Source organism: Homo sapiens, chromosome 2, assembly GCF_000001405.40.
Source record: "Homo sapiens chromosome 2, GRCh38.p14 Primary Assembly".
Taxonomy (NCBI): domain Eukaryota; kingdom Metazoa; phylum Chordata; class Mammalia; order Primates; family Hominidae; genus Homo; species Homo sapiens.
This window is the reverse complement of record NC_000002.12, coordinates 33,125,503-33,153,496: the sequence shown is the minus strand read 5'-3', so window position 1 is coordinate 33,153,496 and position 27,994 is coordinate 33,125,503. Positions and strand designations below refer to the sequence as shown.

Here is a 27,994-nt window from a genome sequence, read left to right as displayed (position 1 = left end):
CTCTCATTTCAGTTTTCTTTTAAAAAAACTAAACTAAAAACTTGTCCTCTGCAGCCTTATTGGCCCAACCTGACTCCATCCTTTCATCCTGCTCCAAACAAGCTGTGCTTCCTTCAGGCCACCAAGGAGTCATTCTGTTTCTAGCCAAACTCTTCTAAGAACTTTGATTTTATAAACCAAGCAAGGAAAATACAGAGTCACTTACAAGTTTTCGAAATCTTTCAGGCCTTAACTTTTCTGATGAAACTTGTCAAGCTGATGACACATCACCACACAATGTATCACTGGAGTTGTACAAAATCATCCTTTGATTCAAAGTGGAAAACAGAGCCCAAAAAAGTACAAAGGGGAACATACTGTACATCCTTGGAAAGCACAGTAAATATTTTCAGAGTAAAACATCACAAAGAGAGCCTCATCTCATTTACACTCTAGCATTCTCTGCGTAGATATGTTTCATATTCAACAAAATGATAGAATTTTAGGGCTGCAAAGGATCTTGAACATCTACTTCCTGAACTCCTCCTTTTAGAGAGGAAGAAATTAAGACTTAAAAATTTGAGTCTTGTCCAAGTAGCAGCACCACTATTAAAACTCAGGTCTCCCTAAAGATTCACAATCAATTATCAGCTAGAGATAATGCTGTAGTTAAGTATTTAGCTTGTTAAATGGAAATCCCAGGTTTTTCTTGAAAAATCAACTATGACAAACCAATTCAAAATTGGACAAAGGACTTGAACAGACATTTCTCCAAAGAAGATATACAAATGGCTAATAAGCTCACGAAGAGGCCAGCATCATCAATCATTAGGGGAATGCAAATCAAAACTATGAGACACCACTTCACACCCACTAGTATGGCTCTTACTTTATTAAAAAACGAGAAAATATCTTTTTTCGTATAATGACTTCTTTTCCTCTGGGTTGATACCCAGTAGTGGGATTGCTGGATCAAATGGTAGTTCTACTTTTAGTTCTTTAAGGAATCTCCACACTGTTTTCTATAGTGGCTATACTAGTTTGCATTCCCACCAGCAGTGTACAAGTGTTCCCTGTTCACCACATCCACGCCAACATCTACTGTTTTTTGATTTTTTAATTATGGTCATTCTTGCAGGCGTGAGGTGGTATCGCACTGTAGTTTTGATTTGCATTTCCCTGATCATTAGTGATGCTGAGTACTTTTTCATGTTTGTTGGCCATCTGTATATCATCTTTTGAGAATTGTCCATTCACGTCCTTAGCCAACTTTTTGATGGGATTGTTTGTTTTTTTCTTACTGCTTTTTTGAGTTCCTTGTAGATTCTGGATATTAGTCCTTTGTCAGATGTATAGAGTGTGAAGATTTTCTCCCACTCTGTGAGTTGTCTATTTACTCTGCTGACTGTTCCTTTTGCCATGCAAAAGTTCTTTAGTTTAATTAAGTTGCAGCTATTTATCTTTGTTTTTATTGCATTTGCTTTCGGGTTCTTAGTCACAAAATTCTTGCCTAAGCCCATGTCTAGAAGGGTTTTTCCAACTTGCACACGCATGTTTATAGCAGCACAAGTCACAACTGCAAAATTGTGGAACCAATCCAAATGTCCATCAATCAACGAGTGGATAAAGAAACTGTGATACACACACACACACACACACACACACACACACACACACACACACACACACACACAAAATGGAATACTACTCAGCCATAAAAAGGATGGAATTAATGGCATTTGCCACATAGATGAGACTGGAGACTATTATTCTATGTGAAGTGACGCAGGAATGGAAAACCAAACATCGTATGTTTTCACTGATATGTGGGAGCTAAGCTATGAGGACACAAAGGCATAAGAATAATACAATGGACTTTAGAGACTTAGAGGGAAGGGTGGGAGTGGGGCAAGGGATGAAAGACTACAAATAGGGTACAGAATATGCTGCTCGGGTGATGGGTGCACCAAAATCTCACAAATCACCATAAAGAACTTACTCGTGCAACCAAATACCACCTGTACCCCAATAACCTATGGGAAGAAAAATAAAATAAAATACAAAAAAAAAGGGTAAGCTGAAGCACAATAAAAGAATGGGAAAATAAGTGTTGTCAAGGATGTAGAGAAAATGGAACCCTCACACACTGCTGGTGGGAATATAAAATGGCACAGCCTCTGTGGAAAACAGTTTGGCAGCTCCTCAAAATGTTAAACAGAGAATTATCACCTGACCCAGAAATTCCACTTCTAGGTATATGCACCAAAAAATTCAAAGCAGGAACTCAAACAGATACTTATACATCAGGGCTCATAGCAACATTATTTTCAATAGCAAAAAGGTAGAAACAACCTAAATATATACATCGACAGATGAATGCATAAACAAAAGGTAGTGTATGCAAATAACGGAACTGCATTCAGCCTTAAAAAGAAAACATGCTACAGTATGAATGAACCTTGAAAACACAGTAAGTGAGACCAGGTGTGGTGGTTCACGCCTGTAATCCCAGCACTTTGGGAGGCTGAGGCAGATGGATCACTTGAGGACAGGAATTTGAGCCCAGCCTGGCCAACATGGTGAAACCGTGCCTCTACTAAAAACATTTTTAAAAATTAGCCAGGCATGGTGGCGCACGCCTGTAATCCCAGCTACTTGGGAGGCTGAGGCAAGAGAATCGTTTGAACCTGGGAGGTGGAGGTTGCAGTGAGCCAACCTCCGCCTCCCAGGTGGAGGTTGCCACTGCACTCCAGCCTGGGCAACAGAGCGAGACTCTGTCTCAAAAAAAAAAAAAAAAAAAAAAAAAAGAAAAAGAAAAAAGAAAAAAGAAAAGAAAGCAAAGTAAGTGAAATAAGCTAGTCACAAAAGGACAAATAGTAAGTCTCTAAAATACTCAAATTCATAGAGACAGAAAGTAGAACAGGGGTGACCAGAGGCTAGGGGAGAAAGGAATGGGGAATTTTTACTTAATGGGTATAGTTTCTGTTAGAGATGATGAAAAGTTATTATATGGATAGTGATGATGGCTGAACAAAATTATGAATATACTCAATGCCATTAAAACATACATTTAAAAACAGCTTAAATAATAAATTTTGTGTTATGTATATTTTACAACTAAAAAATGATACAATTGGGGAAAAAATCAGTCATGTAAATTATGGGTTTGGGGGGTCTCATGAAGATAAGCAATAAAATATAACCCCCCTACACACCGAGGGAATTAAGAACAGGCATTTCATTCAAGTAAAAAAGCACAAAAGAAATAACTGTGAAAATTCCAAGTCTCCCAGGCAAGATGACCAAAACATAACGGAAGACTGCTATATGACTTTATATGCAGGTGAGGGCAATGTCTTTTACTTGCTCCCTAGGGCCATTTCTTGGTCCAAAAGTGAATGCTTTAAAAACGTGATACACATTGTTGTCCAGCTGACCTAGAGTGTTTTGGCCCCAAAGAGGTTTTTCTTTTTTCAATGAGTTAAATAATATGTCAGACTTTTAATGCTTGAATAGTTTTTTCTTTCAAACTTGGCAAAATGATCCTTCAAAGGGCATGTGTAAAGATGTTTGGGTTAGAAATAACAAACCCATACCCTCCCAAGGTGTTATGTTTATTTGAAAGTGTGATGATGCTATCGTTCAAATAAACACACTCAGAATTCCCTCCTTTTCCAACAGCCATAGCTCAGACACATTGCAAATGAGCATCCACAGTAGCAATGGTCAGTGCTGAAAAGCAGTTTCTGTTATACGATCACTTCTGAGACGTGCAAAAAAAATGCCTCCTGTGCTAAACGGTTTCCCATTTGTCATTTCTTGTTTCAGTTTCCAGAGAATCTTCAGAATGAAGGCCCATCACATCCCAAACCATCTCAATCCTTGCACCCTCTAAAATCCAATGTGATCATCTCATACAAATTATCAAATGTAAATCAAGCCTCTAGGAGCCTGGGTCCAGTTGACTAGGTCAACACATGTGCAAGGACAGCTGAAAGGCAAGCTGTGGGTTTGCTCTGGCACCATCATCAAAGGAAGACATTTGTGACAGAAGGCTAGAGATTTCATCTACAGAACAATCTTGAGATTAAGAGGGAGGGTTTTCCAAGGACCTGGACAAAATAGGAAACAGGGTCTAAGATGTTGTCTGATAGGAAAGAATGGCAATGGAAAGAAGGCTGCTCTAAGGAGCAGGCCTTCTCAACTTTGTTGCTAATGACATTTTGGGCCCAAATTATTACCTGCCATGGGAGCTCCCTCTCTTTTTTTTTTTTTTTTTTTTTTTTTTTGTTTTTTTGTGAGTGAGACGGAGTCTCGCTCTGTCACCCAGGCTGGAGTGCAGTGGCACGATCTCGGCTCACTGCAAGCTCCGCCTCCCGGGTTCACGCCATTCTCCTGCCTCAGCCTCCAGAGTAGCTGGGACTGCAGGCGCCTGCCACCACGCCCAGCTAATTTTTTCTATATTTTAGTAGAGACGGGGTTTCACTGTGTTAGCCAGAATGGTCTCGATCTCCTGACCTCGTGATCCGCCTACCTCGGCCTCCCAAAGTGCTGGGATTACAGGCATGAGCCACCGCGCCCAGCCCATGGGAGCTCTCTTGTACGTTGTAGGACACACACAGCATCCCCGGCCTCCACCCACTATACGCCAAGAGCACCCCCAAATTTGAATAACCAAAAATGTTTGCCGGCATTGCCAAATGTGTCTCTTAGGTGGGGGTGCAAAACTGCCCCAGTTGAGAACTATTTGACAGACAAACAGTTTTTCCACCTCACTTCTGCATTATGAGTGTGAACCAAATATTTCAGAGTAACAGAGTGAGCTAAGTGAGCACCCAGCTAAGGATATGCCTGATGGGTGCAAGTGAAATAAGAGAATTGGAGATGGGGAATAAGAGAAAGAAGCTAGGTATTAGTAGACCATGTGGGAAAGAGGAGAGGCCAGAGTGAGGTGAAGGAAATGTAATGAGGTTTTGATGACACACAGAAGGGAAAGTTGCAATTTTGTGATACCAGTGAATGAATTCATCTTCACTCTATGTTATTTTCTATTAATTCAACTCTGTGCTCAAAGTACTCTCAAGTATCATGTTCATAAGTCAAATCTGGACAATTCAGGTAGGCAAGTTCAGCATAGAGAACGTATGTTATCAGCATAGAGAACATATGTTATCAGAAAGAATGATGGCTACATGACAGGTTTAAACTAATTGATATCATTCAATTAATTCAAGTGTAGCTTCTCTTGTCTCAAATTAAAGATGGTATCCTCAAATATCGTCAAAATGCTTAACATCAATCCCAAGTAGGGCTTAACAAGAATAAGGATGGACCTACGCAAATATATCTCCCCTTCCACCTTCCTGGAAAGACAACGAAATATCTGTCCTATTACTAGTAAACCAAGAGTATCATCCTTGCAGATAAGACCACCACACTATTGGCAGCTGGTAATGTTTTGCTGAGATATTGTGCAGACTATGGAATTGAACTCCTGTTATGGGATTTGGGCTACATCCCAAAGCTGAAGACAAAAGGCAGTATCTGTTATTTCACTTCCTGGGACGCTGGCTGTGCTTGCAGAAACCAAGTCTGTTCCACTGGAGCAAAAAAGGTGAAAATTCTTTGGAGGGCTTGACACATATCCCTTGGAATTTAGGGGACATGTGAACAAAAACACTTTCTCACCATCCCCTGAAAAATTCTGAAGACAAGGCAGACTGGAGTGAGCTGAAATGGTAGGATGAATTAAGAAGGCAGCCTGCCCTCCCGGCATTTCATATGGCAATCATGCATGAGTTTTCCACAGGCTTAAGCCATCCTGGTAGGACTCTGCCTGAGACGCTGCCTCGCAGAATGAGGAAACCTCAGCCCTCACAGGAGCAGGACCTGAGGTAGGAGATTTGAAAAAGGTTAACATATTTGATGATATGGTTGAGTCTCTTTTGGCATTTATAAATCATTTCCTAATATAGTATCAGGCTCATTTAAGAGCTCAATAATAAACATCATTAATTGATGACATAGCTTTATCAGAGTGGATTAATAATAGTTTAGACCTTTACAACTCACAGAGTGATCCACAGGTGGGCAGCACAGCATCCTCAGAGCATGTGGTAGAAATGCAGAATCTCAGGCTCTACCCAGAATTCTGATTCTGAATCAGAATCTGCATTTAATAAGATCCATAATGACTCCTACGGACATTAAAGGGTAATAAGCACTGGTTTAGACTATTGGTTCTCCACCAAAGCTAAGTATAACAATTGCCTACATTATTTGTTTTCAAAATACACATATCCAAAGCACACTGAGAAATTCTGATTTAGAGACCCTGGGGTGCAGGCTGGGCATCTGTACCTTTTGAGCATTCCTAGATTCTGTTGTATAATATTACCAGTACTGAGAATCTCTGATTTAGGGATTGAAGAAGGCAGGCATTTGAAGTCACATTTCTGAGTTACTAATTATATCCTACCCTGTAAACATTTTTACACAGGTGAATCCACTTCTCCTTCCAGGGGCTTCATTAAGTCACTGATAACCTCTAGCAAAACACACAATTAGCTACAACTTCATCTCTGTAATGATATAGTTTGGATTTGTGTTCCCACCCAAATCTCATATAAAATTGTAATCCCCAGTGTAATCCCCGGGCCCAGGAGGGGCCTGGTGGGAGGTGATTGGATCATGGGGGCGAACTTTCCCTTGCTGTTCTTGTGACAATGAGTTCTCACAAGATCTGGTTGTTTAAAAGTGTGTAGCATCTCCCATTTCACTCTCTCCTCCTTCTCCAACCATGTAAGATGTGCCTGCTTCCCCTTTGCCTTCCACCATGATTGTAAGCTTCCTGAGGCCTCCCCAACCATGCTTCCTGTACAGCTTGCGGAACTGTGAGTTCCTTAAACCTCTTCTTTGAAACCTACCCAGTCTCAGGTAGTTTTTAACAGCAATGCAAGAATGGACTAATACATGTGATCAATGAGGAATCCATTCAAAACAATTAAAGAGAATAAAAATGGCATACTGAATAGGGACATGCAAAGCAAGACAGGCTGGAAAGACACTGGAGGCTTCCACCCTCCGCTCTGCCCATGTCTGCCTGGGCTATGTCTGTGTGACTCAACATTGACTTCTCATAGGGGCTTGTTATTTGTGAATGAAAATGAAAGGAACCATTCACAAGCCACCACCAAATTGTTAGGTTTTCTTGTCTAGATTTTGTCTTGAGAGTAAGAAGAGCAGTGCCTGATTTAAATCAAGCCCCAAGAACTTAGTGGCTGTTGCTGCTGCATCCACAAATACTTCAAACTCAGCCACCACTGCAGCAGATCAAATTTCAAATAACCAGCTGAAATAGAGCCCAAACTCCTACATCCCAACCCGATTTTTAGGATAGACTATTACGTAAATTGGACACTATTAGTCCTTTTAGTGCTTTTAAGAGTTAATTTCCTTAAATGAGATCCTTCAGAAGTCTAAAATTTTCAAGTAACTGCCAGGTAAAAAGAAGAAATACTTCTTCTGGCACAAAATGGTCCAAAATATGATAGACTTTGACAGAAGGGAAATGATAATTACTGTATGAACAGCAGAGTCAGTAGGCTTTTACCAAATAAGGTTATGATTTCTGCAGTGAGTGTATTTCAATAAAAGGATATTTTCAGCCTTTAGACTTTAGCTTCTTTTTGGAAAATGGTATAATACAAAGGAAATTTTGTTGAATACTTATTCATCTATTTACCAAGTACACAATTTTGGCATTAATGTTATTTTTTTTCATTTCCACACAGCGTCATGGTTTTCTGGGCACGCTATGGGATTCTCAGATGTTTCTAATTACCCTCTGTGTACACCCAATAAAACAGCTGGCTCAAGATGTTATTAATACAAGAAGATCCAGAGGACTCATAAATCATCCTTTCTTCAGAAAAGGACAATGCAGTGGCGAAAAGTGACATATTCTAATCTTGCTAAATAAGACTTTAGCTAAGAATGCTCTAGGATACTTCCTAACTTGCCAGGAGAAGGGCAGTGGTCTGCTTTCCTCACTGTAGTAAACTCTAACAACAAGTTTTCCTTTTACCTCTTCTAGGGAGAATCTGATGAAAATTGGGCTGAATCTCTACACTAGGAAAACTTATAAAGTCCCCATAATCCAGACCAATTCTTATTGAAGCTGATGGGCATCTGAATGAAGTTTGGTCTCAGAGTAACGAAATCTCTCAGTATTGCATAAAGTTTTTTTTTTTCTCCCCAACCAAATCTTAGGAAAAGCCAACACTCAGTCATGCCAGTCTTTCAGTAAGTATTGCATGAGTCTAAATTCAAGATAATGAGGTTGAACAGTAAACCATTCCTTAGGCCCATACCCTTCAACTAAATAGAAAATCAAGTTTTAATAAGTATATCAATGACAGTATCACATTAAATTGGCAATGGAAGGGCATCTGACTCTTCTTATTTTCTTTCTTTATGATATAAATTTGGAGAATGAATCTTAAAATGCTCACTAACTTTATCCTTCTCCATTTGGTAGTTATTTTATTTTCCTGGACTGCTTAGCATGAAGATGACTATGTGGCTGACCTCAAAAACATTTTCACATCATTTGTGATGTTAGTTCCAGGAAGCTTTCCAACAATAGACAAATTAATTATTCTTTCTCCACCTGGAAATACATATTTACATACACCCATATACACACCTCTTGATAGTTAAAAGTTGGTACAAATACTTGACTTTTATACTACAGATGCAAAATTGAGATCAACTCATATGCCAATAAATGGTGCAGGTATATATACTGCATCGCATAAATGTGATTACAAATATCTATTTTAAGTCCAGCTTCCTTAAATTTACTCTAACCTAGGAGCCCAGAGGTAAGTTACACAACCAACAGCAAACTGAATAGCACAAAGTAGGATCAAATGTTATAATCATACATCACTGGAGATGCCCCCATCTACTCAAGATGATTACTTTTCCTCCTGACCACAGCTTTTGGTTCCAAAATGTATTACACTGTTTAAATGCTTTTACCCTTGCCAGAAGGCTTGGCAACATGCAACAGCTTCCTGTGTAAGCAAGTGAACTCAAGAAGAAGCACGATCCAAGGCAGAGAGGACATGGTGCTACAATATTGTCTTGGCCATATGATATTGAAGCCTGATATTATTTTTGTGCAAGGTCTAACCTACCCACAGCAAGCTTAAGTGTAAACAAGTACAGAACCTTCTGTGCGCTCCTACCGGAGCACCAAAGTGAAGGGGTAAAGAAATTGTCCTTCTATATCCTTCTTGATGCTATTGTGCTGTTAGGATCAGTAAATAAAGCAACCACTGTCTCTGGGGTGCACAGGGAGCACCAAGCTCCAGGAGACATAAGCACACTCTCTCTCAACGCCTCTACCCCACAGCACACGAGATGGAGTTTGAGAATTAAGAAAAGGACTTGTCATCTTCAGAAAGAGACAAAGGTCTTCCAGTCAATCCAAGGAGTCCATATGCACCTTCAGTCTGCCACTTCTTGTGAGCCTCAGAATAGCCCTCCAAGGAAGGTTAGGATATCATATGATTTGTTTTACATGCAGGGAAGTCAAGAATGAGAGAGGTGAGATTACCAACCCCGGGTCCTGGAGCCAGTCAATATACCTGAAGCTAGACAACCAAGTGTCAAATGACATAGTAATGACTAGAGGTATAATAGGAAAGAAAAAAAAAAAAAACAACAAAAAACAGCACAGGCAGAACTGTTTGAAATGGAACTTAAGGTTCTTCCGTAAAAGACTGTCAGTATTTACATGGATGCAAGAGCGGGAGCAGGAATTCTGTGCAGCAGGAACAGCTGTACTAAAGGTATGGAAATCTAATTGCACTTTGCCCATGAGTAGAAAGTACAGTGAAGTCAGTGTTAAAAACTTAAAGCTCCATGTAAATTGCTACCAGGGTGTCCTTTTTCATGCATCTTGTGGTCAGTGGAATATCCTATTTCCTATGCCCCTAAACTCTAACATAGTCTTCTCAGTTAATTATTTTACTTCTGTGATTTTACTTGCCTGAGAACTAATGATGAAGCTGTATCAGGTAAATTCTGTGTACACCTCACAGCCCAGGCAGCCGCATAAACAATTTATTGTCAACAAAAATGCATTCAGCATCTCCAAAGCGAGGCACTGTGCTGGCACTGGAGGTGCCAAGATGGAGTGGACAAGTCTTTGTTCCCAATCAGTTTAGAGTGTAGTGGAAGAAACAGGCAAGTCAACAAATAAGGGAAATGAGGCTCTGTAGCATGATCGTCACTTGGCTGAGTCTTGAAAAAGAAGTGGGTGATTGCCCAAGCAGAATGGGTAGGGAAATGTACCCTCCAGGCAGAGAGAGCAGTGTGCACAGAGACACAGGAGCACAAGACACCCCGGAGCACTTGGGGACCTTTGGTATCCCTGGAGGCTCAGTTTGGCAGAAGTAGAGGATTGGGGTGGAAGAAGGGGCAGGGCCAAAGTGAATGCCGTGGAGCCAGGCAGCAGGGCCCTGCATGCTATGCTAAGCAGTTTAGACTTTTCCAAAGATCACTCCGTATGCTCAAGCCGACAGCCTAGGAAAGAATACACACTTTGTGACATTGTGTTACAGACCCCAAGGAATTTTGAAAGGTTATTTATTCCAGGCTGGCCTAGCACAACCCTTTCAAGGAGCCCCATCCACTCCCAAGATACAGGCCAGGAATGGCTTAAAAGGAGCAATCTATCACATGTGCCTTTCTCACAGATCTGGCAAACCACGGACCCCTCTTTTAGTTAAGCTTAATTTTTAAAAAACTGTCCTGGCTACAGACATATGTTCTTATACAACCACTCTGCCCCCCGCCCCACTGCCCTTCTCTGCCTCAGTTGTCTTCCTCTTCAACCAAAAGGACCTTATTCCCTCCTGATTCTGGCTCTTAAGGTCAACCTATTGCCCTTCTTGTTCCAAGTAACCCATGGAATCACCTTTCCACGCACCCCTTCGTCTACCCAGGGTCCTCCTGCCCTCTGCCCACCACCACCACGCACCCTCTACACCACTCACAAGCAAGAACCAATTTTATTTCCCTTAATTAAAAGCAAGCTCCATACCAAACTCATGTGATCTGCCCTCCATAAAAGAATGCTGAAGAAAGGGCCGTGCGGCAAGGTGGCTCACGCCTGTAATCCAAGCACTTTGGGAGGCCGAGGCGGGCGGATCACGAGATCAGGAGATCGAGACCATCCTGGCTAACACAGTGAAACCCCATCTCTACTGAAAATACAAAAAAAAAATTAGCCGGGCGTGGTGGTGGGCGCCTGTGATCCCAGCTGCTCGGGAGGCTGAGGCATGAGAATGGCGTGAACCCGGGAGGCGGAGCTTGCAGTGAGCCGAGATCCCGCCACTGCACTCCAGCCTGGGAGACAGAGTTAGACTCCGTCTAAAAAAAAGAATGCTGAAGAAAGGTGACACTACTTTCTTGATAACCTTTTTTAAATCTAAGACCTTTACTTTTTATTATAAATCACCAAGACTCCTGCAAGAATTCCAGGACTGTATCCTTTTTTTCACCCAAAGAACAAGAATTGGTTGCCTCTTTCCTCTGTGTATAAGGCTCTTTATCTGCAGATATTAATTTGATTCCCTGATACAAAGCAGGTCGATGAACCCAAACTCAAGATGGGAGATAGGAAAAGTCTGGAAGAATGCTCCAAATGTCAGCCTTTTTGGGGGGTGCTCCACGGTTTAGACAAAATAAAAAGCAGGGTCAGAGTCTGATGACAATGTAAGCGATGTTTCCTCACAACACTCATCACCACTTCATCAGGTCCCTGCTCCAATGTTATCTCATCAGACAGCCCTGCATTCCCTGAGCTCTCTAAAATAGCAACCACGCCTTCCACCAACACTCCCCATTCTCCATCCCCCTTCTCAGCTTTGTTTTCCCTCAGAGTGTCTATCACTTCCTGACATTAGTTCATATACGTTTCTTACAGTATATTTTTGGTAATATCTATTTGACAGTAGTGTACACATATACTATATTTTTAAAATGTGTTTTTATAATTGTGGTAAAATACATGTAATATGTACCATCTTTACTATTCTTAAGTGCTGTGGTTCAGGAGTGCTAAGTACGTTCACATTATTCTGTATCAAATCTCCAGAACTTTTTCATTTTGCAAAATTGAAACTCTATACCCATTAAACAACTCCCCATTCCACCCGGGTGACCCCTGGCAACCACCATTCTACTTTCTCTTTGAACTTGACTACTTTAGGCATCTCATATAAATGGACTCATACTGTATTTGGTTTTTTGTGACTGGTTTATTTGACTTAGCATCTTTGAGGTTCATCCACGTTGTAGCCACACTGTTTTTGTAATGCCGGAGGAGGGCAAGGACTTTTATTTAGTGCACTGCTATTGCCTGAACCCCCATACCTGGCACATAGTATGTGCTCAATAAATGCACGTTAAATGAATAACTGTTCCTAATACTAGCCTTTTAAAGGTGGTCTACAGCTTAAATAAAATAAAAAGGAAAAGACCGGGCGTGGTGGCTTACGCCTGTAATCCCTTTGGGAGGCTGAGGTGGGTGGATCACTTGGGGTCAGGAGTTCAAGACCAGCCTGGCCAACATAGTGAAACCCCGTCTCTACTGAAAATACAAAAAATTAGCCGGGCATGGTGGCAGGTGCCTGTAATCCCAGCTACTCGAGAGGCCGAGGCAGGAGAATCACTTGAACCCGGAAGGCGGAGGTTGCAGTGAGCTGAGATGGCGGCACTGCACTCCAGCCTGGGCAACAAGAGCAAAACTCTATCTCAAAAAAAAAAAAAAATTAATTAATTAATAAAATAAATAAATAAAAGGAAAATGCTCTACATTATGACATTTATTCAGTATTAGAAAATAAAATTCTTTGATATAGCTAAATGTATGTGGAAGTGGTTTCTTTGATAAGTTCTTAGGCATTCTAAATTGCCTGGAGGAAAAGCAACCACTTTCTTTTACTATTGTATTGAAACATCTTTTAAAACCTGAGATATACCTGCACAATGTATTAATGGGAAAATACATTCTCCAGTGAAAGGGAGACACGATGGCATTTTCATTGGTTTCTGTGTGAGACAAACATTAAGGAGTCCAAACAATGACGAATGGCAAAGGATGAGAAACTCAGTGACTGAACTAAGTTTCCAGAAAAAACTCCATATGCTTGCCCCTCTTAAGCAGTTATGTCAGATTATTTAATGCCTTAACGAGAGAAAATTTTCTTCCCTCCTTGTGAGGAGAACCTACACAGTCAGCTTAGCAGCACGAACTGCTTCTGCTCTTCATCCCAGCACCACAGTATTAGGTCGGTTTTGTGAAATCTCCAAGGCGATTTTCAGTGCAGAGCATCAGACAAGCCCCAGAACAGCTACAGGATGCCAGAGGTTGTCATTCATTCAGAAACTTATTTAGCCTCTTAAAACATGAGTTTCCTAGCTAAAAAACTGAAAGCACTTCTCTCTTCTTCAAAATGACAAGTATCAACTTCTTTCAGAGAACTTTAGTAAATTCTCAAAGAGTAAAATCCAAATGCCTAAGCTTGAAATTCAAGGTGTTCCACAGCCTTGCACCAATCTGCCTTCCCAACCTGTCATCTACCATTATTACCTTTCATGTGTCCCACATTTAAGTGAAACTATTCCCAATTCCCAGAAACCACCTCTGCTTTCACATCTCCATGCCCAATTCTAGGGGGGTAAATTCTTCTTTCCCATGTCAACTTTGCTTCTCTCTTCCCTCTACTCCCCCATGCATCTTTACTTTGGAACTTACCAATGTTTCAAGTTCCACGTCTCCCTTCAGTCCACAATCAGGCCATCTGCATTTATCTACTCAGCCCCTCACCATGATACAACACGCTTTCTAGGCAGGGACAGCAAGGTGAACTAAACATAAAAGCTGCATGCCATCTCTTTTCTCTCTAAGCATCCTCCCTCAGCTAGAAGTGGTATTTCCCTTCTCTGGGCGCCTGCTAGCAGCTCTCTACCTTAATTTAGGGTTATTTACATATACCCTTCATCTCTTCCTCAAAGTATAAGCTGTTAGAAGGCAGCTTTATGATTTGCTTATCTTAGAAAATCTACTACCATGTTTTATACATAGTCACTTAATATATGGTCATAGGAGGCAACATGGGAGAGCCAGAGGTATTGTGACTCTAGGATAAGAAAACCTGGCTGAAACCACCTTTAATGAAGCCAGTAAAGCAACAGGGCTCATATTTGCCAATTATGGATAGTACCATATGCCGAAGAGGCAGTAAGCATCAAATGAAATAATGTATGAGAACATACTTTTTAGCCGGGCGCGGTGGCTCACGCCTGTAATCCCAGCACTTTGGGAGGCCGAGGCGGGCGGATCACGAGGTCAGGAGATGGAGACCATCCTGGCTAACACGGTGAAACCCCGTCTCTACTAAAAATACAAAAAATTAGCCGGGCGTGGTAGCGGGCGCCTGTAGTCCCAGCTACTCGGGAGGCTGAGGCAGGAGAATGGCGTGAACCCGGGAGGCGGAGCTTGCAGTGAGCCGAGATCGCGCCACTGCACTCCAGCCTGGGCGACAGAGCGAGACTCCGTCTCAAAAAAAAAAAAAAAAAAAAAAAAAAAAGAGAACATACTTTTTAAATGGTCCAATGTTTTTTATAATTATTCAATTGGTGCTAATAGAACATGAGTCTTTAGATTCACATAAACCAAATGTGTTATTTTGACCATCATGACTGCTTTTCAATGTCTCCACAAATAAGTTATACCAAGTGACAGTATTACTGTGTTTGAAATATTCTAGTTGTGACACGAATTTATATGTTCTTCTTGTCAGAGGAACTTAAGGCTTTATAAACAATTTAAAAATCCCAGAAGGTCATCTGCATTTTAGCCCTATAAAATGTTAAGAATCCTTTAAAACAACAACGGTGAACCTGCAGCCCACCCAACAAGGGATAGGTTTCCATTTTTAAAAAGGCAGGGGTGGGGCAAACAGCAAGGCTGAGCTCAAAAAAAAAAAAAGTCATTATCATTAGAAACCTGCTTCATAGGAAGTACCATTTAAAGTAACTATTCTGTTAAACCATATCAAAATCACTATCCATAAAAATGGGCTCTTCTAGAATCTCAGAGTGCTTCCTTTGGATACCATATTCATTTGGGCCTCACTTTTAGAGTTGCATTAAGCAGAAGTTATACTTATTATTTCTCCCACTGAATACTCAAGAACAGAGACTGCATGCTCAATAGTCATGCGAAAATACCTGCTGCCTTTCACACCTGGAAAGCCCAGACTCACCCTCATCACAGACCAGAAGACCAACACAGAAGCAGCATGAAGGAAGGAAGGAATTATCCCACAAGCCTGTAAAAGAACAACCTCCACATATCTATTAGGACCTGCACTGTGTGGAGGAGGTGAGCTGGGCCCAAAGAGCACATAGAGCCAATGTTACCCCAGGATTCAGCCCCGGTATGCTGGACTCTCAGTTGCTTTCTCTCTCTCTGTTATCCCAGCCAGCCTTCCCACAAGACACAACTCCATGAGGTCCTTCACCTTGTCCCTCTTATACATCATGGGCAGACTCCAGGTAGGTAAGAAAACAGATGGCATAAGGATATCTAGGTTCTAGGCATAGCTAACTGACTTGCCAAGAAACTAAAGCAAGCTCACTTAATTAACACTCTGAACCTAAGTTTCCGTATTGAAAAAATGGTGATGATCATGTCTGTTCCACATCCTCAAACAAACAAACAAACAAACAAACAAACAAAAACTGTAAATCACCATGCAAATGTTGGAAATTATTTCTGTTATTCTGATTATCAAAACTAATTATGAAGTCCATATAATTTTCCCTGGATTATGTTGACTCCTTAGAGAATGGCACTCAAGCCAAATTCAGCCCAACAAATGTTTTTGTAACACAGCCACACCTATTCTTGTTCATATTGTCTCTGGCTGCTTTCACACGATGATGGCAGGGTTGAGTAGCTGTAACAGAAACTGTATGGCCCACAAAGTCTAAAACATATTTTATACTATCTGGCCCTTTACAAAAAGAGTTTGCCAGCCCTCACCTTTAAGTACCAACAAATATTAGAGATCAAAGGGAGTAGCTGACAAGTGACAGTAAATTTTGAATTTTTCCCAAATTTTAAACTATTTTCCAAATAGGTCTTTTTTGTCAAAAGATTTAGTATTCTATAAACAAGTACAAAGAGAGAAGAAAAAAATCAGAAAATCACTTTTTGCAAATAATAAAATTACACTAAACCAGTAAAGTCCCAAAAAGATATATGCATAAACGTTTTTGAATTTTTCTGTATTTTCAAAGGATCACAGTCTATAAGTTCTATAAAATTACCATTCTTAAAGAAAGAAATATCATAAAAATTGTCCCTCAAACTATCCAATATTTGAAATAAAACGTTAAACAGGAGAGGGAAATAGCTCAGAATATAAATGAAATGTTTCCCACAATTTCCAATGTGAAACTATTTATTACTATGGGTCCTTCTCACCCCATCCTCTACTTTTCAAAAAATTAAACTGCTCTGCCGATCCTATATGGAGAGTGGAGTTCTGCTTTTGAAATGCTTTTGTAAATAATTTTGCTTCATTTTGCATTTTGAGTAGGCTATGTATATTCTGTTCCTAAACATCTGGTTCAGTGCCAGCAAGGAAAGTGTGTGGTGTGTTTCAACAAGTAGACTTCCTCTGTTTCTCAAAGCCTTCAAAATATTTAGTTTCAAAATGAATACACTGGAAGCCAAAAAATTACCACCCATTTGATTATTTTGTCATTGCTACTGTAAAGATTTACAATAAACACAAGGAGGGAAAGGAGCAGTGAGTAAGGAAGGCAACCAAGAAAGATAAAGTGGTGAAAAGCCATCAGACTCATGATAGTCTACTGGAATTGCCTTTTCTTTTCCCCTCCTTGTCTGTGGCCCTCCAAAAAAAAAAATTTTTTTAAGCCAGAAAATAGTATTACTTATTGCTGATAAAAAGTCATATGATCTTAGAGATGGACTAAATTTTAGAGGTCATTAAATACAATCCCATTTATTTTATGAATGAGAAAAACTGAGGCCCAGAAATATTAACTGGCATGCCCTACGGATTAGCTAGTTAGTGGCAGGACCGGGACCAGAATCCAGTTTCCTGATCATCAGTTCACTTCCCATTAGACTTGGCTCCCTGCCCTGCAAAGCATAATGTGCCATTTGGCACCTAATGGCTAAATTCTTTTAAAAACTATGCCCAGAGTACCCCTATCATAGCCAGGAAACTCACAATGCCCTTTTAAATCGTATCTATGGGCACATATTTTTTCCAAGTACAGACGATCAAAAATATGCTTTGACCTCCTAAGGATTGGGAGTCACAATAAAACAGCAGAATAATCAAAGATCTAATAAGAACTTCAAGCTGTCCCTTTATTTTGTCTTGATGTAAATCAGTTTGACACAGACACCCCTTCTCCTACCACCCCCCCAGACACACACTTCCAAGACTAAACAGCAATATTCCATAAAAAGACCAGATCTAGCCAGTGTTATTATCTGTCTGACATTTGGGTTATTCTTGTGAGTAACTCAGAAAGTAACGTGGGTGTCTGCGATTATTTGAGTACACATGGCAAACCATAATTGGTCAAAAAATAATAAAAGACATTTTTCTGCGACAAAAATACTGTATTGCATGACAACATGGCAACATGACAGCATTCCGTGGACCACAATCCTTTCTCCATTTGCAAAAAAGTAAAAAACAAAAATTCAAAATGAACCAACAAGGCTTTCTTGCAGACAGCAACTACTACTTCATATTTAAATTAACTTAAAGGAGTACTGAGAGTAATCTACCAGTCTGTCTTCCCCAAATCCACGTAAAAAAGGAGTACTGAGAGTAATCTACCAGTCTGTCTTCCCCAAATCCACGTTATATATCAATTTATATTCAGTCTTGTGAGACGGAGCAGAAACGTGGCAAAAGATGCAACTCTGTATCCTTTTCTACAACCAAGTACAGGTTTTTGACAATCCTCGGAGTTTTGTTTTAGAGCTTGGCTATTTTTGAAGTAAAAACTTCAAATTTCATCACCACCTTCCAAAATTTATTACATGAGTCAAATCTAAGACAAATTCCACTTATCACTGGGCTGATAAAATTTGAAGCTTATCAGCACAAGTCATGCCTTAGGGTCTAAATCTAAAACCTACTCTCTTCTCTTCTACTATATATATTCCCATTACCACATGGCTGTGTAAATGCTAAGCAATAAGGGAAAATATTCTAGTTGCCATTCCCCTAAGAAACCAAGAATCAGGTTAAAAATTATTCCAAAAGCAATTTAAAAGATCCCATGAAAGAAACATACTCGTACTCATAGACAGACACCCATTGAAGCAGACAGCAGTGTGAATGGAGGGGGTGTCTAAATGCTACAATCTCATAAAACTCGACTCAGTAAGGACAGTTAGGGACCGTGGAGGAACTCACCCACTCGGAAGTTCGTGGCCGTCAGGGTGTCGGCAGCATGACCATTCTCACTAATGAGAGTGGTGGTGTTCCCCTTCTCACAGCTGTTCTGACAGCTGCCCTTGGTGCAGGTCACTTTACAGATGCTCGGAGTAAAGACCACCTTGATGCGGCCAGTGTGGTTACTCACTAGGAGCGGAGGCAGGGAGAAAAAGAACAACAAACACATCAGCTTAGTATCCATGAACTTGCCTTGGAAGGTTTAAAAAAACAGAAAAAAAGAAAAGAAAGGAGCAAGAGGGGAAAAGAGAGAGCCCACAACCCGACAGGTTTAAGGAAAGAGGGAAGCCTTCAGTGCTCGCTGCTCTGTATTCAGTGGTGTCTCTGAAACAGGAGTAGGAAGCTTAGCAAACAGAACTCTGGGATGCACTCCAAAACCACATTTGAAGTCGAGTCACTGGAGTGGGATTACTAACCACAATGCTGCACTTTATTCACGGGCAGACAAAGAGCAATACCGAGGGCACGACAGATTAAAGAGCCAACCCTGACAGGCAGATGTAATGCAAAGGGGTTGGCCGTGCACCTAGCGGTGAATAAACTCTTGTGTCCTCAACTTGCATACTTTCCCTGTTTCTCCACTTATTAAGTCACTATTTGCAGCCCGACCCCTGGAAATGTTTTAGGCATGCGGCATGTCTGAAAACATCTGTCTCAAATCTCCTGGCACTCTCGGCTGAAGTGATCAAATGCTGTGACGCAGCTGCGGGAGCCCATTTCTTTTTCACAACTCCAGGGCACTATTTCTCCATAAGAATTTAGGCAACATATATTTTGTTTTCCTGTGAACGGGGCCCATCTTTAAAGGGGTAAGCCAGGTCACAGGGATAAATGGTTGCCTCCCTAAAAATAACACCCTTGGGCTCTCACTGTCTCTATTCATAGACCACCTGGAGTAGCCACTGGGGATGGAGCTTTCTTTCATTAGCGTGGCCTTCTCTTAAAAACGAAATGCTATCACCTGACCACACAGCCGAGGCTATGTGGTATCACAAAATAAGCCCTAGACTAAAAGTATATCCTGGTTTACAATCCCAGCTCAACCACGGTGTGACTCCGGACATGCCATTTCAGTCCAGTTCAGTTCAGTTTTTCCAAAACTTGAGAGAATTGAAACTGGCATTTTCTACACACTTCTAACTTTCAACGTCTCTATCAGAGGTCAGCAAGCTACAGTTCAGGGACCCAATCCAGCTTGCTGCCTGCTTTTGTAAATAAAGCTTTACTGGAACACAGCCACCCTCATTCATTTCTGTACTGTCTATGGCTGCTTTTGTGCTATGACGGCAGAACTGCACTGTCTCTGTGCAGTTCTGCTTCACCCAGACCTGCCCTTCACTGCTGGATCGCAACCTGAACTCTCTGGCAAATTGCAAGACACACACTGTTTTGATTGCTACATCTGCGATAGGCCCCTAGCCAGGTCCTTCCTCTTTCCAGGAGACTAGGCAGAAAGCAAAGATGGTAGCAGTAGCTGAAGACAGCCAGTCATCTGTCAGGCTTTAAGGCCGTCAAGAAGCAGTGCCCTTCTGACGCCACTCCATGACTGGAGTGGCCAAAGGGGAGAGAGGCTCTGGGCCAGCCTTTTTTATACCATCTTTGCCCACCAGAAAAGCTTGTCTCTCTTTATACTGCTTTGGTTTGGCTAATATTATATTTTCAGAAAATCATCCCAAGATGCCTCTATAAGACCCTCAACAAATTAAAACTGTGGTCATAAGCTGAGCTTGGAAACAAAGAACTTTAACCAAAGAAGCCATTCCAATTTCAGGGTTGGAATGGGGCCCCAGAGGTTTTCTAACGCAACCATCTCTCATCCACTGTTTGCATTCCACGTATCAAGTGGTCGTGTAACCTTTACTTGAAAATCTCTAGTGACGGGCAGCTCATTACCCACAAAAGCACATGATAGTTATGGCAGTTCCCAGCAAGTACTATTTTTTATTGAGCTGAAATCTGGCCTCACAGTAACTTGCACACATTAATCCTAATTTGGTTCCCCATGGCCTCACAATCTAATGCCTCTTCCACATGACAGCCCTTCAAATAAGTTATCTTTGAGATAAATGCCACTTAATCAAAGAAAGCTAAAATTAGGACTTGAACCCATCAGCTGGGTTGGTCATCTCACTTAGAAGAAGAAAAATTATTCCTCTGGAGGAGAAAGCCCTCCATTCTTTTCAAATGGTTTTCCAGGACAGTTTCTCCTTCACCGGTGGTTCTAACCCTGGAGGATCAAGACATGTTGTCTGAAATGGCAAGATGTCCTAGTGGCCAAGCAGACCTTCTGGCACCTTGCAAAATGACATCCAATAGGATGCTACTATCAGTCAATACTTTAAATCGAGGGCTAGCAAACTTTTTCTACAAAGGGCCAAATTGTAACTATATTAGGATTGTAGGCGAAAAGGACTCTATTCCTATTCAACTCTGTGGACCCGCTTAGCTGGAAAGCAGCCTGTCAAAAACAATATGTAAATGAGTGGGCATGGCTGTGTTCCAATCAAACTTTACTTAAACACTTCAGTAACCCCTCCTTTAAATGCTTACAGGACATTTTAAAGTTATCTGGGAGTCTACCTTAGAAATTCAAAAAAAACAACAGAATCCTGATTTCACCAGCAGAGAAAATTCACCTAGTTTGATTTGCTTTTTCACAGTAGCACAAACAAATCAGCTTATAATCTAAGTTGTCGGAAAATGCTTACAAATATCTTGAGGATACTTTGTGTGTTCAAGTGTGTGAAACCCAAGAAAAAAAGAGACAACATTTTCCCACTTCAAAAGAATATAAACTCCTCCTTTTTCTGGCTCCTGGTACAATCATGAAATTAGAATCCGTGTGCCAACTATTTTGTCTTCTCTGGCATTAACTTGTAGCACCAGCAGCTGCCACACAGATGCTCACACAGTCACCTAAATTATGCTCACTTAGGCAAACTGAGACATCCAAAGAAAGCAAGCACTTAATCATTATTCCCATTTCACCTCCCAGCTACAGTAGTCACTTTATAAGCACTGGAGATTCTCCGGGCCTATTGTTATTAAAAACTTCTTATATTTCTTTGCCAAAAAAAAATTTCTTTTGGCTTGGAATCATCTGGATTTTCAAAAGGCAGAGACAGTTTCATATGACTTAATTCTGATTTTTACAATGTTCACATCTTCTTGGAAGCAGAAGCTATATTTTATTTCATATAAAAATAAAAATGCTTGTGTTTTACAAGCATTCTGCTATAAAGTAATCTAATTCTAAAACAGACACTTGTATTCTAAGCGGGTCCTCCCATCTCCATGAAGCACTTACTTCTTCATTATAATTAGCTTTAGGTTTTCATGCCAATCTTCTCAAAATTGGTAGTGAAAATGCACTACTGCTTTTGACACTAGATTATTATCCAGAGCTCTAACAGGATCTCCATAAATGCTGGATGGATTAGAAAATATGTTCTCCCATCTCTACTCCTTGAAAATCATTCCCACATATTTAGGGTATAGTGTAAAAAGTTTAAGTTTTAAAGTTCATCAAACAGAGATCCATGCTCTGAGCTTCAAATTCCTCACATGTGACACGCTGAAGGCAATACCACTCACCTTTCAAGAATTTAGTAGGAATTCACTAACAGTAGACACAAGCTCTCCCGCAAAAGCCATTTGGTCTATCAGAAGCATCTTCTTTGCATGTCTTGAATAAGGTAATATTCAAGGACTCCTGATGCCTTGCAGAGAGTAGGCACCCAATAATTGTGGAATAGACAAAGTAACCCGAAGCATGGGGCAAGGGTGACTGTCGGATCCCACAGAGATCCAAGACTCACAGGATGCTGGAGGTCATTTTGGTCTAAGGTCCTGCTGCACCAGTGAGAAAACAAGCTCAGGACTAACCAGAGGCAGAAGACCATCCCGAGTGGCACCTACCAGGTGATTAGGAATTATAAGTCTGAGAAGCAAAAATCAGGCCAGTCAGGAGTTAACAGGGAAACCACTGGCACAACTTCTGTGCTTGGTCCTTTGGAGGAAAAAAAATGCAATTTTTAGATCCCTTTAGGTGAATCAGCCCCCAAAATCTTAAGCAAGCACTTTAAAACTTTGGGTTTTGGAGGCCTTGGCTAGAGGCACAGATTGCCTGGAGCCATGCAGCACCGCCATTGGGCCTCCTAGTCAGTCAAGACACTCAAGAGTCAACATCCTGTCTGCAGCGTCTGCCAGACCCTGTGCAAATTTATACCTCCAAGAAGAGGCACTGGCACTCGGTTTAAAACAAACCACAGATATTCAGAGTGAATGGTGAATGGGATGGAAGTGAAGCCGATACCCCTCCTCCCGTGATAAAAAGCTTTCATTTCTGCTTCGGGGTTGTTAACAATAGAGAAAAATATAAAAATGTGAAAACTGTGCTTGACAAACAGACATCAGTCTAGAAAAGGGCACAGTTGCCTTGTTTGGTCATCAGACCAAGATGTGACCAAAAGCAGAGAAATAAATGTAACAAGTTCAAGACTCACATCAGATGTCATGAACAAATACAGTCTCCTCAGCATTCGTCCAGAATGCCGCAACAGCACATTAGCGTGCATCCAACTTAAACAATGGGGACCAACCAGCACAGGCAATATCCTCTGGGAAGAAGCAACCTCTCTGTGGTTTAAAGCCACCACCCGGTTTAAAGAGACCTACAGGCTGATTCAATACACAAGTCACGTGTACACTCTTCAGGGTGTGAGAGAGACTGAGCTAACAGTTCATTCTCCCACTTGCAGTCCATCGCTTACCCGAAGGCCAAGAATTCTTTGAAGGACAAATCATAAAAATATTAAATAATGCTTAGAATAACAGGACTTTATTGTTCAGCTCTCCAGGCTTGCTTAACTCCTCCTGGACTATTAAAATAATGCCCATAGACTGCTCTGTGTTCCTCAAGAAAGGTGCTATGTAAATAAAAATTAATATCAAATCTATTACTTCACCAGGCAGCCCCAGTCCTGGAAAACCCTCCAAGAAGGAAACTCAGATGAGATCACTAGTACTGATGTGGGCAGTTCCACAGGTAAGAATCCAGAGTAATCTTTCAGCTCCATCTCTTGAGTTACTGAGGCAGGAGTAACTAAAGAAAGAGGCAGAGAGAAACAATTGCTACAACAGTGATAGAAATCTAAGTCTCAGATCAAGAAAAAGCATAAGTCATTACGGGTTGGAAACCTTGCCATCTTTACAAAAGACATTTTTCCCCTAAAAATTTACCCGAAAAAATAGCCAATAATATTTTTTAAAAGTAAAACCATTTTTAATTAAATATGTTAAAGAGAATAACTGAATAAGCAATAGGAAATAGCAATTTCTCAAGTACTTTTGAAAAGAAAAACAGAAAATTACTTGCTACTAAAATTTCACAACATATTATGCAAGAATCATCTTGACACATGATGGAAACTTCTAACTTTATAGATAAAATCTGTGTAAGATATTTAATTTTTGAAAGAGACACCGTGGGACAGTCTGGTGTGGTTCTGGGTCCACTAGAACTGAGGTGTGTGCCCTGTTGCTGCCTCTGGTTACTGGAATGCCGACAGCAAGTGCTGTCGCCTCTGCCCTGGACTGCAGTCCGGAGCCTGTCCTGAACTTTTCTGGGTGTTCCGCATCCCTAAACTGAAGAAGTATGCCTGGACAGTTGAACCCCTTCAGGATCTATAATGTTAAAGAAAAATATTTTACAAAAAAGGACAGACCATGAACATGTCAAAAAGCCATGGATTTGTTTTTGCTCGTTCTCCACTTTTATTACCAACTGTACTTTTTTTTCCCCATCATTGGCTCCAGAACCATACCAGGCTGTTCCAGGTGTCTCCTTCCAGGTGTCTCTGTTCCAGGCTGTTCCAGGTGTCTCTTTCAAAATGACTTTTAAAACTCACCTGTCTAGAACACATCTGGAAATCCCTCATCTAGAACACATCTGGCAATCCCTTCTCTGTTCCTAATTCTGAATGTTAAGAGAACCTACCAGCATTGCCCCATCCAGAAGGGATAGTAGTATTTGAAATGCTGTGACTGAGAGTTGAAGAAACACATCCTCCAAGAAGAAAGGTCTTGAATCCGTTCATAAAAAGGAGGAAAAAAGAAAGGGGGAGCAAGAGCTCAATGTACCCAATCTCCTAATTCTGAATTGAGAATGTAATCCACAGCCACAATCTAGAATCCTGACAATCATGGGAGCCATACTTGTTGAGGGTTCAATGAGTTTGCCCTGGGTTTTTGGGAACTAGAGAGAGTGAAGGGCATCACAGTTCAAGATGTTACTCTAAGAGTCTGTCTCCCAAGGGGGAAAGCCATTTAAAAGATACATTTTTTCAGAAATGAAAAATAGCTACCTCCCTCAAAGATTCTATGCCAGTCTTCGCAGCAGCACAGCTTTAAATTCCACACCATGGCCATGTGGCTGGAGGACCCGGATGTGCAGATGTGCAACTGACAAGAAGACTGACTTCACTGCTCTCTGTAAACAGAATAAGGAGCAGAGCAATCAACACACTTACCTGTCTTCCATCTCTACTACGCATGCAATCTGCCTAATTTGCATAGGCTCTTTATAACCACAGTGGGTTACATATGCTTCACATGACTCAAATTTTCTGTCCCTTAATTTTGGAACACAGTTAGGTTTTATTTATCCCCACATTTGTTGTCTTTCAAAGAGCAAGTAAATGGAGGCATTTGACCATTTCTATAAATAACACCTATCTGTATGTGGAGAAGCATGTCTGACTAAATGATAGATATCTACTGGGCTATTTGTTTACCAAGGAACACATTTGATGGCTTACTCACAAGCTAAACAGGGGGCCATTCCTCTCGAGGGTCCCAAATTATCTCTACCACACACTTTGAAAATTAGGATCCTATATCATTGTTATGACAAATATTTCTGACAAAATCAAACTCCCTTAAGGGAAAGTAAGCCCCTTTCCTACCTAGGTCCAACCTAGCCTCGCCTCCCACCACATCTCCATGTAAAGCCAGGGCCTGAGCCAAGCCACGCTGTCCACAGGTCCCCACTCAGACACCTCACTCATGCAGTTTCCTTTCCCTAAAAACCTTTTCCTCTTCTTCCCCACATTCCACCCTTTTGACTCAACTAAAATACTCCTTCCCTCCATGATTTTCACTGACCTAGGCACAACCAAATGTTTCAACCCTCCATTGTCTCTTGACTCTTTGCAGACACGTCTATGGATATTTCTCCACTTTTCCCACCTTCCTTTGGCCTCAGTCAGGCCAAAGAAAATAGTCTATATTCTTATCCTCCTTTTCTATCTATAACAAATGTCCCACCTGGTGATTCTCTTTTTAGGACTGGAAGAGAGAATGTGGTAAGAGGGGAGTGTCATGGGAATGGAATACGGGGGTTGGAAATGAAGAGGCCTGGTATGAACTGAGGCTGAGAATCCATGGGAAGATGGACAATGGGAAGGGAAAGCAACAGGAAGGGCAGACAATGTGAAAGGCAGAGAAATGACTTTTACTCAAACAACTGATAGCTGGAAGTCACAAAACTTTAAAGGAGTTGAATGCCTCAGGCTTCTACCATCTTCATAAAGAGGGCTTGGGAATTTTCTTCCGACACCGAGGCAGACATAGTGAAGGAAATGACTTATTACACTTCACGAAATTTAAATTCTGCATAAAAGAAAAAAAAAGAGTCAAAAGACAAGGCAGAGAAGAAAACCAAAACCTCCTGGGCTCTGAACACACATTCTGAGTCACTGGAGCTGCCAGGCCAGAAGTAGATGTCTTGATGTGCCTCTAAGGGATTCCAATTCTTTCACACAAGCAATAAAAATCCAGAGCAAACAAAAATAAAATTATAACTTGAATGCATTATATTTTAAGAAGCACCAAGGAAGTCAAAGATATGAACATTTTTGCAATGGCCAAAACAACTCTCAAGTTTCATGGATTCAATGGAGACAAAAATCTGTTGAAGCACTTAGTTGTATAGAAAATTGGCATTTTAAAATCTCTAAATTAATTTAAAATTAGAGTCTCAGAGAATCCAAGCTTGCAGAATACTGATTCTGTCATTTACTTCATTTTTTTTTTCCAATACAAACTTCTCTCTGGCTCAGTTTTTAAATGACTGCATCCAATGGCCCCAACTACTCCCCCTATGGGACTACGGCCAAACTCAATAGATCTCATCATTAGGAAAGATTTCAGCCTCAATATCCTTTTCCCAAAATCATCATATATAGCTAGCTATGCTCCAATATTATGTGATAAATAAAATTGAAAAACAATTAGTTGCCAATAAAAAAATTACTGATGTATAGTTGTACACTCTAAGTTTTCCAGCTGTCAGCTAATTCTTTTTAGGTTGCCCATTTTCAGCTTCCTCATTTCCTTTGACTCTCATCAAAAGAGTGCCCCTTCTGTTGAACACTGTGATGGTTTTAAAATATGTCCACAAATTCCCTGATACTTCTATCTTTAAGAGGTGAAATCTAAAAGTCTAATCTCCCCTTGGACATGGGCTGGTTTTTGTGAATCTTGTCTAAGAACAAACCAGATATGGTGGCTAATGCCTGTAATCCCTGCACTTTGGGAGGCTGAGGGGGAGGATTGCTTGAGTTCAGGAGATCGAGACTAACCCTGGCAATATAGCAAGACCCTGTTTCTAAAAAATAAATAAATAACAGAAAAAAATGGAATGATGCTTTGCAACTTCAGAGACTACATCATAAAAGACACTGTGGCTTCTGTCGTGGTCTGTCTCTGTTGGATCACTCACTCTCGGGGAAGCCAACTCCCATGCTACGGGAATACTCAAGCAGTCTAAGGAGACACTCACTCATGGGGCAAAGAACTGAAATCTCCTGCCAACAGTCACATGAGTGAACCACCTTGAAAGTATCTTCTAGGCCCAGTCAAGCCTTCAGATAACTGCAGCTCTTACTGATACCCTGGTTGCAATTTCATGAAAGAAACTGAGCCAGAACCAACCAACTGAGGTCCCTCTAAATTCCTGAACCACAGAAACTCTAAGGTAATGTTTGTGGCTTTAAATCACTACAGTTTGGAGTAATTTTTTTTTTTTTTTTGAGACGGAGTCTTGCTCTGTTGCCCAGGCTGGAGTGCAGTAGCACCATCTCGGCTCACTGCAACCTCCACCTCCCGGGTTCAACTGATTCTCCTGCCTCAGCCTCCCGAGCAGCTGGGACTACAGGCACCTGCACCACGCCCAGCTAATTTTTGTATTTTTAGTAGAGATGGGGTTTCACTACATTGGCCAGGCTGGTCTCGAAGTCCTGACCTCGTGATCCACCCGCCTCAGCCTCCCAAAGTCCTGGGATTACAAGCGTGAGCCACCGTGCCCGGCCAGTTTGGAGTAATTTTTTATGCAGCAACTGATAACTAACATAAACATA

General features: G+C 41.0%; 1 protein-coding gene across 65 annotated transcripts in view; it reads right to left on the bottom strand.

Moving 5' to 3' along the window:
- Positions 1 to 27,994, bottom strand: part of LTBP1 (latent transforming growth factor beta binding protein 1) — a 452,557-nt gene that overhangs the window by 246,013 nt on the left and 178,550 nt on the right. For 33 of the 65 annotated variants that reach the window (XM_011532853.3, XM_011532857.3, XM_011532861.3 and 30 more), the window contains exon 5: positions 18,537 to 18,704. The exons of 5 other annotated variants lie outside the window; for them this stretch is intronic. In XM_011532853.3, the coding sequence (XP_011531155.1) occupies positions 18,537 to 18,704 (168 nt within the window). Of the gene's footprint in view, positions 1 to 18,536; positions 18,902 to 18,991; positions 19,129 to 27,994 lie in introns of those variants that run through there. 27 more of the 65 variants (NM_000627.4, NM_001394912.1, NM_001166264.2 and 24 more) reach the window with 2 other exon arrangements.